This window comes from Homo sapiens, chromosome 1 (genome assembly GCF_000001405.40).
Source record: "Homo sapiens chromosome 1, GRCh38.p14 Primary Assembly".
Classification (NCBI taxonomy): domain Eukaryota; kingdom Metazoa; phylum Chordata; class Mammalia; order Primates; family Hominidae; genus Homo; species Homo sapiens.
In genome coordinates, this window is record NC_000001.11 from 192,330,571 (window position 1) to 192,347,956 (window position 17,386).

Sequence of the window (17,386 nt, forward strand, 5' to 3'; positions counted from 1 at the left end):
AATGAGATCTTATGTTTTTCAGTAAGACTCTTCTAAGATATGTAGGATGGATTGGAAGGAGAACAATCTGGAGACAGTACAATTAGTTAAGAGACGCATTAATCACTAAGAAGTGAGGGCATGGACAAACGGAATGTTGCTGGAGTTGGAGAGTTATAGATAAATGTGAGCGATATCTAAATGAGACCTGACAAGTCATTATCTTCATGTGAAGTTATGTTAATGATAACTCTGAAGCTTTTAATTTCAGTGACTACAAGTATAGTTAAGTCAAAACAAAAAATAAGGATTGAATGATAGACAATTGAAAATGAATTCAGTTTTAAACACTTTGAATTTGATGAGCTGAGGGGTAACCATGTGTATCTGTGCAATAGTTGGGAATGTGGCACTGAGATGTATTTTGTAATTAATTAGGTGATTATGATGTAGTAGATTGTATCAGTGCTTGTGTATGTGGTAGTAACTGAAACCTATGGTTGATGTATATGTTATGGCTCTACTCAACTAGACTACTTTAAGAAAGACTATAATGGAACATATGAATCCCTGAATAAATAATAGCTCTACATTCTTGTTAATGTCCGGCTGTATGCAGCCACGCAAATTTTGTGGAATTTATTTTCTCCCTCGTTTCTGGATCAAAAAGTTGTAAGTGATCTGATTTTAAAAAAAAATCTATTTTAAATAAATATGACTGTGGCTGGGTGTGGTGGCTCACGCCTATAATCCCAGCACTTTGGGAGGCCTAGGCAGGCAGATCATGAGGTCAGGAGATCGAGACCAACCTGGCCAACATGGTGAAATCCCGTCTCTACTAAAAGACAAAAAATTAGCGTGGTGGCAGGCGCCTGTAGTCCCAGCTACTTGGGAGGCTGAGGCAGGGGAATCGATTGAACATGGGAGGCGGAGGTTGCAGTGAGCCCAGATCGTGCCACTGCACTCCAGCCTGGTGACAGAGCAAGACTCCGTCTCTAAATAAATAAATAAATAAATAAATAAATAAATAAATAAAGACTGTGTATAATTTAAATTGACTTTAAAACATATTATTCAAAAAATTTGACATATTTAAAAACCTATTGAGTGGCACAATGAGAGTAACTTAAAAATTAAGGTACAGGTATTTGATAAAATACTAGAAGATTATGAAAATCATGAGTTAGAAAAATAATAAAACATTTTGAAACATTTACTACTTTAAATATTTTTTTAAAATTTAGACACAAGGGTCTCTACTTTTGTTAAAAGATTGAAAATGTATTTATCTCTTTTCCTTTGAGACCATTTAAAAGTAATATTAAATGAATGAACATTGCATATATCCACAACAATGAAGATATTTAGAGAACGGTCTTAAATAAAAAGAAATCCTTTTTAATTTTGGGGAAATTATTTGATGTAAAAAAAATACAACAGGGAAAATGAAGTAGAATCTTAGACTGAGGGCTTACCATGGTAAAAATTACTAATAAAGAAGTAAAATTCAGGATGTTCATAATCTAACTGATAAGCTTAAGGTACAGAAAAAGAAAACAGACTTGAAAAGAGAAAATTATTTTTAAAATAATGAAAGAAGAATTCCAAGAGCTGAACATAAAGCTCCATATTTAAAAGATAAATCAACTCAGTAAATGAAAAAAGAACCATGCAAAGGAACAGAATCAAAATATCTCATAAAACCAGTAATAAAAATGCAAAGAAATGAGAATTATATGGGATCAGTAATCAGTAAGATTGGATAGAAAAAGACAATGGAGCAATACCATCAAATTTATAAAGGGAAATGTTTTTCAGCCTAAAATTTAATCCCTGCCAAACTGTCAATTGAATATCAATAGGCAAAAAAGTCAACCTTGTTCGAAACTTCACACCTTATACTTAAAAAATTAGTTTTAAATGAATCATAGATTTAAATGTAACTCTAAAATGGTTAGAATATAACAGGAGAAAGTATTTGGGATCTAGGACCTGGGGAAGAGTCATTAGACATGACATCAAGAGCACAATTCATAAAAGAAACAACAATAAATTGAACTTTACCAAAATTAAAAACCTTTGTTCTGTGAAAAAGCCTGCTAAGAGAATGAAAAGGCAAACCACATACTAGGAAGTAATATTTGCAAGCTGCATATCTAATAAGGAGTTCATATCTACTATACATAAAGAATTCTCAAAACTCAACAGTTTAGCCAGACATGGCGCCTGTGCCTCACACCTGTAGTCCTAGCTACTCCGGCGGCTGAGGCAGGAAGATGGATTGAGCCCAGCAGTTCAAAGCTGCAGTCAGTGAGCTACAGTCATGCCACTGCATTCCAGCCTGGGTGACAGAGCAAGATACTCTCCTCCTATCCAAAAGTCTCAAAAAAATTTTTTTAAATAAAAAAAAACCTCAACTGTTAAAAAAAAATAACAACTAACAATTAGAAAAAAGGTAAAATACAAGAGGCATTTCATTGAAGAGAACACATAGATGGCAAATATCACATGAAAAAAAGGGTCAACATCACGAGCTGTTAGGGAATTAAAATTAAGACCAAGATGAGTTATCACTGCCGATCTAGGTAATAGAACAGATAAAAATGTCTTTAATGACAAAACAAAAATCTCATTAGGATGCAGAAACAGTGCACCTCTCATACACTGCAGGTAGCATATAAAGTGATTGTCTCTGAAAATAATTTGGCAGTTTCTTAAATACACACACACACACACACACACACACACACACACTTACCATAGGACCCATCAATTGTAATCCTACACATTTAATCCAGATAAATAAAATGTATGTCTATACAAACACCTACACTATTCATAGCAGCTCTATGTGTCATAGATCAAAACCCCTAAATAAGAAGTGTCCTTAAGTAGTGAATGATTAAATTAACAGTGATACACACATACTATGACATACTACTCAGCAATAAAAAGGCAAGGGCTAGTCACATGCGAAATGATGTGGATTAATCACAAGAACACTATGCTGATTGGAAAGAGCCCATCTCAAAAGGTCATGTAAGGTATGATCGTATTTTTATAATATTCTCAAAATGACAAAAAAAAAAAAAAAAAAAAAAAAAAAAGAGATGAGTGGTTTCCAGGGGTTAGGGATGATGCAGAGAAGGTACTATAAGGGCATAACATAAGGGAGATCTTTGATGTAATGGAATAGTTCTGTGTCTTGACTTCATTGGTGGTTATGTAAATCTACAAATGTGACAAAATGACAAAGGGCAAACACATATACCCCAGTGTCAACTACTGGTTTGTTACTGCACTATAATTATATAAGATGCAAACCATGCCAACCACTGGGATAGACTGTGCAAAGGATCTGAAACCTGTCTGTTCTGTCTTTATATCTGCCTGTGAATATATAATTATGTCAAAATAAAAAGCTGAAAAAAGTAAAAACATGTTTATGACTTAAAATATAATTCAAAATTATTAATCCTTTGGAAAAAGTTTACTTTAACATATGGCTCTCTAAAAACATCATAATTATAAAAAGATGTATATATAGCATTGTCTTTGGGTCTGCATGCCTTTGCTAATCTAGGCTACGTTTCTCGACAGTGAACTTTTCAACATAAGTGTAGTAGAAAGTATATTTGGACTTAAAGAGACCTGAGCTTCAATTCCCCATCCAGCAGTTATTAATTTAAAGAGCGTACTTGTCATGTAACCATGAGTAAAAAATCTTAATGCTCACTTTAGGTTATCACCTTTAAAGAAGAGATAATAAATAGTTATATGCTATTACAGTCAAGATCAAATACAGTTTATGAAGTATTTTCTACTAACATTCTTCCATTTTTGTTTTAGAATTGAATTATATTCTATATTGGGATTCTATACTGAATTCTATTTCAGGAAGAATTAGATCTTTTCATAGGACAATGAGTACAATATACTTTTAAAGTTATATCATGGAAGGTCACTGGACATTGTTTCTATTTCTAGCTTAAAAACTTGATAAAATAAAAAAGAGGCCTCTGAATTGTGTTGTAATATATGTAAGAAACTTGGGACACAAAAAACACAGAAAAACACAGATGCTGAAGAGAAAAGAGCTATTGGAAATAAAGAATGAGTTGCAAAAGTTTAAACAGACAGTAGGAAATATGTGGTATTTATGAGTATGTATATTTAACTACTAAGAGAACAATCCCACAGAATAAACAGCATGAAGCATGTGAAATCATTTGTTAAATTTGCAAAAGAATATGTGTTCCATCTCTCTTTTTCTCTTTCTCCACTTTCTTTCCCTTCCCCCAACAAGATTGGGTTGACACGTCTTTTAAAATAAACCATAATCCACTTGTCACTTATGTCATTACAAAGCTTGAAAGCCTGCCTAATGAGTTTGCACAAATCCTCTTTTTAACATGTATTTCATATACTCTTCTAATTAAATATTTATCACCATATCTGGACCTACAAATAACAGTATTAAGGTATGATCCCGAATAAACCTGTTCATTGTATTATTCTCACAGAGCTTAGCTTCCCTAAAAAAAATCATTTCATGGGTCATCAGGATGAAGCTTGCTACTTTTATTCTTTTGTTGCAGCAAAGGATGAACATAATTTGAAATTTTAAATCGTGAAAGAACATGGATTTTGGAATCAGTTAAACCTGTTTGAATCCTTTCTCCACCACTTAAACTAAGTAACTTTTGGGAAGAAGGAAATGATTCTCTGAGCTTATTTTCTCACATATATAATGAGGATCTTAGAATTTTTATAAGAATGAAATTAGATACTCTCTTTAAAGCTAGTATGCAGTGTGTTGCACATGATAGCAGCTTACTAATAGAGATCATTGTCACTAATAATTTACTTAAGAACCTCTTCCTCATTTTTGGTTACTCATTTTTTGAGTGTGTTCCTTAGTTTTACGTATTGTTTTTCTACCTATCCATTTCATTTATTCTTTTTGCAAATACTCACTGGACATTCATATAGTGCTAGGCACTATACCATGTGTTGTGAGATGTACAAGACTGTGTCTCTACCTTAGATAAGAAAAAAGACTGGAACATTGGATATTGCAGTAGAAAATATGTAATCAGCAGCATCGCAATGCTACCAACGGAAGGTTATTGATAGGTTGGTTCTTTGGAGAACACCAAAGGCTTCTAAGAGGGTATAATTTTTAAGCTATGCCTTGAGAAATTACAGAAGACAAAAACTGGGTAGAGAATTCCAAGTAGAAGAAATTTCATGAACAGAAGTAGTTATGAAACAGTGGGACTTTCAGGGAATACCAGGCAGTCAGTGTGTCTGAGAGGGAAAACAAAAACACAAACACCTGTGTTTTAGAAAAACAGTTTATATACTACCAGGCTAGCATTTTGGACTTCTAGGTAATCATTGGGAAATCAACAACAAAAAAATTTTTTAGTTGCTGTTGAACAAAGTATATTTGTTGTAATAGCATCCAGATTAACAACTTGCGTAATGCTCTTCCGTGTAAAGCATATTATCTAAAAATCAGTTAATTGAAAATTAATATATGTATGACATTTCTGAATTTCCTGTAGCCAGTCTATAAGTCAAGCCTAAAGCACCACTAATCAGAAGATCAAAAGGCTCAGGCCGGGCACAGTGGCTCACGCCTGCAATCCCAGCTCTTTGAGAGACCGAGGAGGGTGGATCACCTGAGGTCAGGAGATCGAGACCAGCCTAGCCAACATGGTGAAACCCCATCTCTAATAAAAATACAAAAATTAGCTGAGCACTCTGGTGGATGCCTGTAATCTCAGCTAGTTGGAAGGCTGAGGCCGGAGAATCGCTTGAACCAAGGAGGCGCAGGTTGCAGTGAGCTGAGATCGTGCTATTGCACTCAGCATGGGCAACAAGACTGAAACCCCATCTAAAAAATAAATAAATAAAATAAAATAAAAGGCTCAAGTAGTCAAAGAATGATAAATTCAATGCAAGACCTGGTTACTGTCTGATGCCTGGCAGTGCGCATATTAGATGACTTCCTGCCTTCTTTATACTGTTAAAAAGAGAGTTATTTCAGCAATAATCTACATATTAAGAGAAACCCATTTAACCTGTCAAAAAAATGAATGGTTGAATATCCCTAAGAATCAAGCCAGGTATTTTATAATACTTGCAAGAAAGAGTGGATAGTTTTTAATTGCCATTTTTCCTTCTCCATTAAAAAAAAATGAAGTTTACAAGTTAAGGGTTAAAAAAAAATGATATGAAAGCAAACTGACCATGCCGGGGGAGATACCTGGTCATGAAGAAAATAAATAAAAATAATCTTGTTATGAGTTGAGGGAAAAAATAGTGATTGGCTGGGTGAGAATTTTGTTTGTCTTTTTCCTTTTCTATTCAGAATAGTTTATAAATAGGATGGTAGAAGTTATTCATAGTTGAAATGTGGATATAGTTGCAATAACATAATTAAATAAACTTTAATTTATATCATGGCTTTGATAATTTATTCTAGTAATATATTATAAAAGATGTTGAGCCATTCCCTTATAAAATAGTCAACGATCTTGTATGCTATACTTAAAATGTATTTGGATGTAATAGACACATATAGCTTAAATTTGTGTTACTTCCATTTTTTATTAGGCATCAGTGCCCCGAAATATTAAGAGAATCTTAGTACCATCTCAAATATTGTACGTTTTTGAAATGCTAGAATTTACAAGGAATCATTCCTCTCAGTATGTCAACATTCCACTACCCAGACTGTGATATTACCTAATAGAATTTTACTACCCAGACTGTGGTATTCCATTGAGCTAATTTCTTATCAAATTTTTTATTAAAAAGTTAATAAAAAAATAACTTTTTTATTTTTTATTAAATAAAAAATATTGTGTACATAGATTTCAGTTAAAATACTCTTTTTAAAATTATATTACTTAGCTTTATTAATATCTCCCATGACTGCTACTCTGCCTTGCATATTTTTGCATTGAATACTGAGGTCTTCACCAGTCAGCAAAGACAGGAAAGGTTAGCTCAGGAGAATAGTTTAACGGATGCTGTGTATACACGATGGCAACACAGAAATGTAAAACACAGGGGGAGGGGTCAATTAAGTGATTATTTATCTTTGTGTTCTAAAAATATTCAGCTACAGTAAAAGAAAATTGCAACAGATCAAATGATAACAAATATGATGATGACTATGAGATTACAATGTGGATTTAAACATTCTCTACCTCCCAAAAGCTGACTTTTAAATGTATACAATACTTTTATATCTATCATACTATTTTAATTAATTCATTGAGGTATATGAATTCACTAAAGTGAAAAAATGTTATTTACTTTTAAAACATAAGAAAAGACATTTTTACTTACATCAGAAATCTTGAACTTCTAAATATTTTATTTTACTAAGGCAGATATTTCTTTGACTATCAATGATAGTACATGTTCTAAGAAAACACAAAGAAAATACATTTAAGACATAACAATCATGAAGTGTGACTAGCAAGTAATGCAACAAATTTGTCAACAAGCATACTAAGAACTATACATCCAAATGAGCGTTATATTTCCAAGCAGCCACTTTGGGAGATCAGACACATTTCAGTGGTATTGCCATTGCTCAAAACATTTCTAACTTCTCCATTAGAACCGCTCTCAGAAATAATTGATGAACCATACACAACTCAGGCTCATTGCTTTATAAATTGAACCTCATATAGCAGTAACTTGAGGCAAAGCAGAATCAAGAAAATATAATTTTCTCTTCCCATTTGTTTATGAAAAGAAAATTAACTTTCAAATTATTTAGTCCTAAAATAAACCACTTATATAACCCTATTATATAAATCTAAGAAGACAATTGTAAAAAAATAATTAATCTTTCCTTTCCTATTATAATTTGAATAGAAACATAATATGGGCAAATAACGATCAGTGCGATTTTGTGGTGAACTGTCGTGCTCATCTAATCTGATTCTTGTTGATCTCCTTTGCTGTGACCTGTGCAAGAGACCATCTTAACAAATTTCACAGTATTTTATTGCTCCTCATTCTCCTTAACCTCTCTTTGTCACCTGACCTTTTGATCATTCTTTCTTCTTTCCAAAAGTCTGTGAACAGTGTTTTTAAAGGAAATTCCATGCCACACTGTAGCCTTAACTTTTCTCTGGCTTATTGCATTAAATCTTCCCTAGCTCATTTTCCTTTTCTGTTCCTAAAATATAAGTGTTACTCTACATTCAGTAGTCACTAAAGTATTTAAATACTTATTGAATACATGAACATTTAAGCCCTCAGTTCTCAGCTCCATTTTTCTCTGTCATTTCACCTGTTAAACTAAATCTAACAGATTTAACTATCACTACCACCTAAATACCAAGTTGCCCCCACTCAGTCTTGCTTTAGCCCTTCCCCTTTCTAGTTATGCAACCCTAAGCAAGATATTTAGCCTCTTTGAGTCTTAGTTTCCTCATATTTAAAATATGAATAAAAATATTGACTATCTCATAGAATAATAACCAAGGAGATAATGCTCAGAAAGTTTCTGACACGTATTTCTGAAGTATTTTAACTATTATTGGTTAAAATCCTCAATTATTTTAACTGTTATGGTGTTTTTCCCACAAATCTTTTATGACATTCTTACTTGGATGTCATACAATCAAATCGGCATTTTTTTTTAAAAAAAAAGAACATTGTTTAGCACTTGCATCAAGATAAAATATGATACTTTTGCTTAAATTATGCAAGTACCAGAATTAAGTTCTTATTAATTTTTTTATCCTACCTTTAATGATGAAGTATAAACAGCAGTAGTTTCTTAGGTTAATAGTGGGGTCTCATGTAGATTTAAATGCTCTATATTGTCTTTGAATATGCCTATGAAATTACTATGACAGGAAAGTTAAGGAAACCATATCTAAATGTTCTACATATCTCTAAACCTTTTTTTTATGTATTGATTTTCCTAACCCTGTTTTTTTAATGGATTGCCATGATCATGAGTGGAATCACCATTCTTTCAAGCTACCAGATTTGAAATCTGTTCCTTTGACCCTCTTAACCCCATCTCCTCTGCACAGACGTAATACCAATGATGTTTACTGTTCCATCCATCTGTAGCCACCCTTGTTCTCTCGTGTTTGGACCAGCATACTATACTTTTTAAAAAAATTTTCTTAAACTTTGTTTTGCAATTTCAAGGAGAAAAAACTATGTTACTTTTTAAACTAGAAAGTTGACTGCAGAGTCCAGTTCCCAAAAATATTATAGCTCTAAAGTGGTTTATGAGTATAATTTGTGTCATGAACCCATAAACTGAAAAGAAATACCTTCTATGATTCTGCTAAATCCCCTTTACTTTTTAAATTAATTAATTTTGTAATTGACAAATAAAACATATATTTATATTATATATGTATGTACATAATTGTTATATATTATGGAGTTAAACATGATCTTTAACTTTCCCATCTGCCTCTCAGTCTTCCAATTATTCCACACATACTCTCATCATGTTAATTCTCCAGAATGACCAATTTTATACTGTCTGATTAAAGTTTTATATTCCTCCAGCACCTATGATTTCTTGTACAAGTATTTAAAAATATTGCAGAATAAATCTCATATCTTTCCACAGAAATTCCCATTGATTGCATGACAGTATTGTCCATAAGATCTCCCATATTATTATCTTCACCATGTTTCTGTGAATGTCAAATGAGGAGAAAGGAAACAAAATAAATAAGCATATATAAATAAACCTATGTAAGATGTGTTGGCTTGCTATATTTTCTTTCAATTTCACAAAATAACTTTGTGAGATAGGTATTATCAATACTATCAGTAGCAAAGAGACTCAGAAAGGTCAAGGTTATTGTCCAGGATGAAGAATCCACATTTGCATATGAACTTGTTACTCTTGTCTCAAAATTTATGCCTATTTTATTACTTACCTTCCTTCTCTTAAGGAGGGTTTTAAAGAGAGGAGTTCCCTAGATGTATTCATTTTCTATTGCTGTTGTAAAAAACTGCCACCAACTTACTTGCTTAAACAATATACATTTATTATCTCAGAGTCCAGGGGACATGTATTAGTCTGTTCTCATGCTGCTTATAAAGACATACCTGAGACTAGGTAATTTATAAAGAAAAAGAGGTTTAATGGACTCACAGTTCCACGTGGCTGGGGAGGCCTCACAATCACAGCTGTTGAAAGGCACATCTTACATGGCGGCAGACAAGAGAAAGAGGCAACCAAAAGGGGAAACTCCGTATGAAATTATTAGATCTCATGAGACTTATTCACTACTACAAGAACAGTATGGGGGAAACCGCCCACATGATTCAATTATCTCCCTCCAGGTACCTCCCACAATACGTGAGAATTATGGGAGCTACAATTCAAGATGAAATTTGGGTAGGGACACAGGCAAACCATATCAGGACCAGAAGTCCAAAATCAGTCTCACTGGGTCAAAATCAAGATATTGGCAGGGCTGCATGCTTCTGGAGTCTTTGAGGAGACTATCTCTTTCCCTGCCTTTTTCAGCTTCTAGAGGCCACCTACGTTCCTTGGCTCTTAACCCCTTTCTCACATCACTCCAACATCTTGTTTTCATCCTGAAATATCCTACTACTAGACGTTAACCCTCCTTTCTCCCCTCTTAAAAGGTCCCTTATAATTACACCCCATCCCCCAGGATAATCTAGGATAATCAGCTTCTCTTTTGTCACATAAAGTAATATATTTACATGTTCCAGGCATTAGGACACAGACATCTTTTCAGGGAGGGTTGTATACTTAGCTTATTACACTGTGCATAAGTTCTGATAATGGAGCCTAAACCCACTGGACCAAAAGCTGACGGTATTTAGATGTCCCAACAGTATCTATATGGCAATCCTTTGTCAAGATACATTGAATGCTATAAAGCATCATTCAGCCTAATAAGAAAGCTTATTTCCTCACCTGCTCATTGTATTATGAGGCTTCATTTTGATAAATAAAATCCAATTATTAGTTTTTTCTAAACAATGAAGATTGAAAGGAATGGAAAGTGCACATTAAACAATAATTGTGGTTTGTGGAAGGATTTATGAGAAAAAGCATGCTTGCAATTGCACTAAACTCAAAATAGAAATTTAAATTTTTGTTTTAACATTTTAATGTAAAATAAGCCTATTCCTGGCTCCTATTTCTTAAAGACTTTGCATGGTTCTTTTTTTTTTTTTTTAACCAAGAGGGTCTTTAAATTTTGACAGTGTATTTTCCAAACTGTACTATTTTCAAGCATATATTATAAAATTAATACTTCATTATCCCCCCTGAGCAAAACAAAAAGTGAAAATATGTTTAATGATTCAGTTTTTGCTTATCCTAAGAACATTACTTAATGGTGCTTGAATTAACAAAAGGGATCGTGCTGATTGATGATTTCCCTTCTTAATGATACACCGACTTTTTAGGTCATTTCTTCTACTTCTCTCAGTTTCATTAGTCCAGGGCCACTGATACTAACCATTTCTATAGATCAACTAGGGCATTTCCACGGTAAGTCAAGGAGAAGAACATTTTTTACCTTCTTTTGACTGCTTTCTTTCTCCCACCTGAAAAATTGTCAATCTTTCAAGAGTTTTTAATTGACATTGAGGGTCATAAACACATACCAGTTGAATTTTACTACCAAAGAACTGTATTACATTGAGATAAAAGCTTGACAAAGCATGAAGTTATAAAACTTTAACTATAATTAAAATTGCCAATATATGGTCTTTGTTTTGATAAATATATTAGCCTTATTACATTAAACATCATATTGCATAAAGAAATATTGGCATAAAATGACTTGAGATCCATGGTTAAAAGAGAGAAATGTATGTTATTAAGCAATAAAAACTGCATAAATTTCAAAGAAAACTGCAATGTCTTATATTAGAACATTTTAGTTCATGAATAAAATTGCTTAAATAGTTAAACATATATAGTTGTTTAAGATAAGTATACTAAAGGTAGAGCCCTCCTCAGATTCTCTGAAAATCAAAGAACAAAGGAAAACAAAATGATCTCTTAGGCAGATTAAAGACTTAAAGGTGAATATTAATTATAAATATGTATATTTATAATATGTATATCATTATATATTGGTTTAACCTCCTGTGAACAATAGTTGTCTTGCAAACAGATGAATATGAACTTCAGAAAAAACTTTCAGATGGAATTTATTTCAATTATGCCACAGACTCAGAGAAATGTCACATTTATTCAAAGAGTTATTTATTACTTAGAAGTTTAAGTGTTTTGACCAATGAAAAGTTAATAACAAAAATAAAAAAGCTGAGAATAGCAGAATTTAAAGAATGCCAATTTGTAACCCAGGGGATAGGTATTCGCATACTAATTGTAATGTTCCTGCTGTCACATTACCTTCAGCTTGAAGATCAGTCAGAAAGAGAAACTCGGCATCATCTGTGACAGACAGTGGAACGAAAAATGCCAGTGAAGTGAGTTGCCGTTTCCAGCTATTTTTATCTCAGAAGATGTACAAATGAAACACTTGAGTCTTCTTTTAGTCTCGATGTTTTATTTCCTTCATTTATGATAAATACGCTAATTGTTGTCTTCCTGATTTTTTCTCCTTTCTCTACTGATTTCTTCTTTTTGAAAACATGTCAAGAATTTGTGGCTTACTTTTGCACTTTATTCTTCATGTGGGCTAAAGAAAGGTTATAAAGTGGAGATAGACCACTGAACTTTATGTTTTTTTTAAATTATGAGATGAATTAGAGACATAACATATACATGATTCTTGCAAAAATTATCACAACGTTTATTGAAAAAATTTTACATGGATATTAAATGCTGGGTAAGGAAGCAGCTGTCACTTCCTGGAGCACATGGACTCCTTGCTTGAGTTTTCCATTCTCCAGCACACTGCTAATTGAGTGTGAACAGCTAAGTTGTTGGATTCCACATTTTTTAATGCAATACAACTGGTTCTAGCTGGCATAATTAGCAAGATAACTGGTTGCTTTCACGCAGTTCCCATCTGGCCTGGCTCTTCTCTGGACATATAATATGGGTACTGCTGGCCTTGATGGCACTTGCTTAATGAAGAAAATAGAAAGGAAATCAGCCAAAACCGCATGAAATACTAAGTGTAATTTTGGCTTCAGATACACAGTGACTTTTCATGGCAAATCATACACAAACAAAAACTTACTCTGATTATGCATCACAATTTTACAGGAAATAAACACAGAAATGAAAAGAGCCAGACAAAACTGCTGTTAAAATTCAATAAAAGGAAGAAAAAAAGAAATGAGGGAGTGGCCATTGTCCATTTTTTCAGATAGCACATATCAAGTAAAAGTCAACCAAGTCAGTAGAGTTTAAAATCAACCATCCTCTTTTTTCTCCAACTTTTATTCAATAGATTTCTTTCTTAACATTTATATAGTTACATTTTTTAAAAACAGAAGATGATATTTCTTACTCCCATCTACCATAAGAAATGCCCTATTTTTATTTGATAGTGTACAAGCTTTAAGAATTCATGAATAATATTGTTCATGAATTCTTAAATTCTGTTTCGTGTAAGCTTTCAGTTGAGCAGCCAGTTACCACAATTTTAACTATTATTTAGAGGAATTATAGTATTTCTATGAAATATGATAAATCTCTATTGCAGGAAAAAAACACTTTTTAGGTAGTTATTATAAATGTTCCAAAACATGAATAAAGTACAAATATATATGTATTAACTCATCCATTTAAGAAGTATGAAATAACTTGGGTTAAAGCAGACAAACTTGTGTTTCAATTCTAACTCTGGCCATTACTGTCTGTGGAATATTGCACTACTTATTTGTATCTCTGACCCTCTTTACTCTTTGGTAATATTGGAATAAAACAGACTGTTATTTTCAAGATTAAATGAAGTCTATGATATGCGTAGCACAATGTGGTATGCATTGTAAACATCCAATACATAGTTGTGCATTTTAGTGCTATTATAAATATTGTATTTCAGTTTATTCATAGATACCATCAATTTGCTCTTTCACAGAATTACAAGAAACTCCAAAATTTACAAATTTAACTGGCAACAAACAAGCATTACTCCTTAAAATAGTTACACTTCACCTAATTTCTGAAAAGTAAATGCTATGTTACCTCCAACTCTTTCAACATCTCAGATAGTCAAAATTTAACCTTCTGGATAAGAAATAGGCTATAAAGGAATGAGCTGAGGGTATTCCAGGCATTGCTACACACCAGCAGAGGTACTCCTTCAGAGCCGATGGGCAATTTTTTTCTCCTAAAAACAATGTCAGCATTTTGTGGACCTTGATTAATACTAGGATATACCCATATAACTAATTCTATTATCCATAGTATTCCATGTCTTTATCTATAAAATATCTGTAACATTTTAGCATCCCTCTGTAATTCAAAACATTAGGAATTTTTCTTTTATCCTTGGTTCTACACCATCTCCCACACTTTGCTTTCTTTCTCTTACTGTTTCTCTACATTAATGAAGATGATACAAATAGCTATTATTTATGTAAACACCTTCATTCTATAAATACTCCTTTATATCCAAAAAGATTTCAAGAAATATGCCTTTTTGCTTTTGGATTAAGTAAAACCTGTCTGTCCTTAAAGGACACTGCCTTCTAGAATGGATGTCAGCTATTCTCTCCAACCTCACATACCTCAGAGTTGAGAATGAGGTCCATGATGATTCAGTGACGTTTTCACATTATTTTTCATCTTCTCTTTCCCAGAACACTCTATGCCTTTGAAGCTAATACAATTTAGCTACACTTTTCAATACTTTTTATCACTGTAATTTATCAGCATCTTGAAGGCCATTTACCCTCTTCCATTGAAGGCTTTAATATGTGTCAATATTTGGGGTTTGGTCATCCATTATTTATTTGTTAATATGTTCAATATTTCATAGACCAGGCACACTGTTCTTGGTGCTAGAAAATAACATTTAGTCCTGTCATCAGATGACTTACATACTAATGGGAATATAAATGTTCATCTTTGAATGAATTTGTCTAGATTTTATTTTTCAGTTTTTCCTGGCTGCCTGTTCCTCATTCAAAATGGGCATTCTGCATGGCCAGGTTCCTCTCTATCCTATTCATTAGCATATGTTCCACAGGTCTAAGTAGCTTTAATTTGAATACCCTGCTAGCAGCCAAATTTTAGTATACAAACAGGAATATTTTTAAGCATGTGTATTTTAAATGATCGTATAACTTTAGAATTCCTACAAGTTCTAATATTTGAGTTATATGAAATATAACATAAGCTTATTTGAGTAACAGGTTATAGAGTACACAAAATATCTTCAATGTAAAATTAAATCTAGCATTGTGTCTCAACCTCCATTTATGAAAGACAGAAACTGAACAACTCAATTTTTGTGTCTATTTGAATGAAAAAAAACACCATTTCCAAATGGTTTCACAGGTAATCTGTGTCCCCAAGATTTAGTAAGTCAAGGAAGAAAGGAAAGTCAGCTGCCTACAACAGGAGAAGGAAATTTTAGATTGGAAATGTGAGTAATGGAAAATAGTAAAATGAATTCTTAGCTACAGTGTCCTCTCTATGTGTCCTTAATGAGGATGACCATTATTAACTGAAGATGCAACTACAACTGCATCAGTAGAGGAAGTACAATCAATCCTAGCAAAAACTATAAAAACTGCAGCAAATTACAGGAAGTAATACAAAAGCATAGGAATCACTTCACACTAGTATGTTTAAGATTAGTTATCTTGCCGTGCAAATACAAAAGTTTTATAAGAATTGCGATATATGAGTTTTTCTCTATTTTATTATTGGTAATTTCAATACAAACTTTAAATTGGACCCTCTCTTTCCATAACTAAGTCATTTGCACATCACAGCTACATAATCCAACGTGGTTTTATTTCTGGGCAGCAGATGCTTTCTATGAATAGGGGCTTATTTCATCAGGATCTTTGTTTATTAAGAGGAGTAATGTATGATATATTTGCATCTCAGAAAGTTTATATCTTAAACCTGATTTATGATTTCTACATCACATCCCCAAAAGTAACCTTCTTCAGAAGACTTAAGTCTATAAATTTTTGACTGCTTTGGAAAAGATATTACTCTGTCTTGACAGATTCCTAGATTTAAATAAATCAGCTCAGAACTAGAAGTATACCAGTCTAAAGAGAAATAAAGGCTGCCTCAGAGTAGGTAAAGACGTTTTGAAATATTACGAACAAAATGTTTTCAAGTTCATCACATGCTAGAAATTCTTAAAACTTTTTTGAACTCTTTTGAGATGCATAATTATGACATAATCTTTACACTATAAAAATTTAGAAAATAGTTTATTCATCACCATTGCTATCATAACTTTTTGGCTAGAGTAATGTCACATAAATTAACAAATAATATACTCATAGTTGAAAAGAAATTCACCATTGATCCACAGAACCGATATCTTTTATGCCTTTATTAGAATTTAAGAAGCCTCAAATATTCTTAAGACTGTCAGCTAGATTAATAAATAATTTGCTGATGTCAAATTACATCCCACTTTATGTCACTATAGCTAACTACTGTAAATAGCATTGTATAATTTTTTGACATTTGGCTGTTTGATTAACAGCATGAAGTTCATTTGAATGATGTAACTCAAAATACATGTAACTCGAATATTACTATTGGTTAAAGAAGAAAAAGATCACAATGCTATTGTCAAGGTTAGATGCTGTTTCTACAGGTCACCAACTGCGGAAACAATGACATGGTCTGAAAATATGGACACGCTTTTAGCCAACCAAGGTAAGATTTAACTAATAATAGGCTTAAAATACAATAATTAAATATAAATTATTAAATTCTGAAAGTTGGTAACATATCATAAAGTATGAGTTTAATCAATGAAGTATAAAATTATTAATAATCATAAATTCATAAAAATCCAAAATCTAAATAGAATCAGGTTGGGGCTAAAATAAGTTTATAGGTTAACTCTGTACATTAAAACAAAAGGGAAATTCAATCTAGCAAGTGAAATTTTCCATTGCCTTAGACTCACTTTAACATTTTTTATTATTTTTTATTTTAATACAGAGTCTCACTCTCTCTCTCTATCAGGCTGGAGTGCAGTGGCATGATCTCAGCTCACTGCAAACTCCACCTTCTGGGTTCAAGCAATTTTCCTGACTCAGCCTCCTGAGTAGCTGAGATTACAGACATGCACCACCATACCCGGCTAATTTTTGTATTTTTAGTAGAGACAGGGTTTCACCATGTTGGCCAGGCTGGTATCAAACTCCTGACCTCAGGTGATCCACCCACCTCAGCATCCCAAAGTGCTGGGATTCAATTCAGGTGTGAGCCACTGTG

The 17,386-nt window shown here is 32.8% G+C and overlaps 1 protein-coding gene and 1 long non-coding RNA gene across 2 annotated transcripts in view; one reads left to right on the top strand and one right to left on the bottom strand.

Moving 5' to 3' along the window:
- RGS21 (regulator of G protein signaling 21) overlaps window positions 1-17,386 on the top strand; it is a 50,294-nt gene that overhangs the window by 13,579 nt on the left and 19,329 nt on the right. Inside the window, exons 2-3 of the mRNA NM_001039152.3 lie at window positions 12,407-12,477; window positions 16,743-16,819. Coding sequence (NP_001034241.1) covers window positions 12,467-12,477; window positions 16,743-16,819 — 88 coding nt within the window. The 5' untranslated portion in view covers window positions 12,407-12,466. The remainder of the gene's footprint in view (window positions 1-12,406; window positions 12,478-16,742; window positions 16,820-17,386) is intronic.
- LOC124904473 (uncharacterized) overlaps window positions 12,789-17,386 on the bottom strand; it is a 37,073-nt gene continuing 32,475 nt past the window's right edge. Inside the window, exon 2 of the long non-coding RNA XR_007066775.1 lies at window positions 12,789-13,080. This is a non-coding gene — a long non-coding RNA (uncharacterized LOC124904473). The remainder of the gene's footprint in view (window positions 13,081-17,386) is intronic.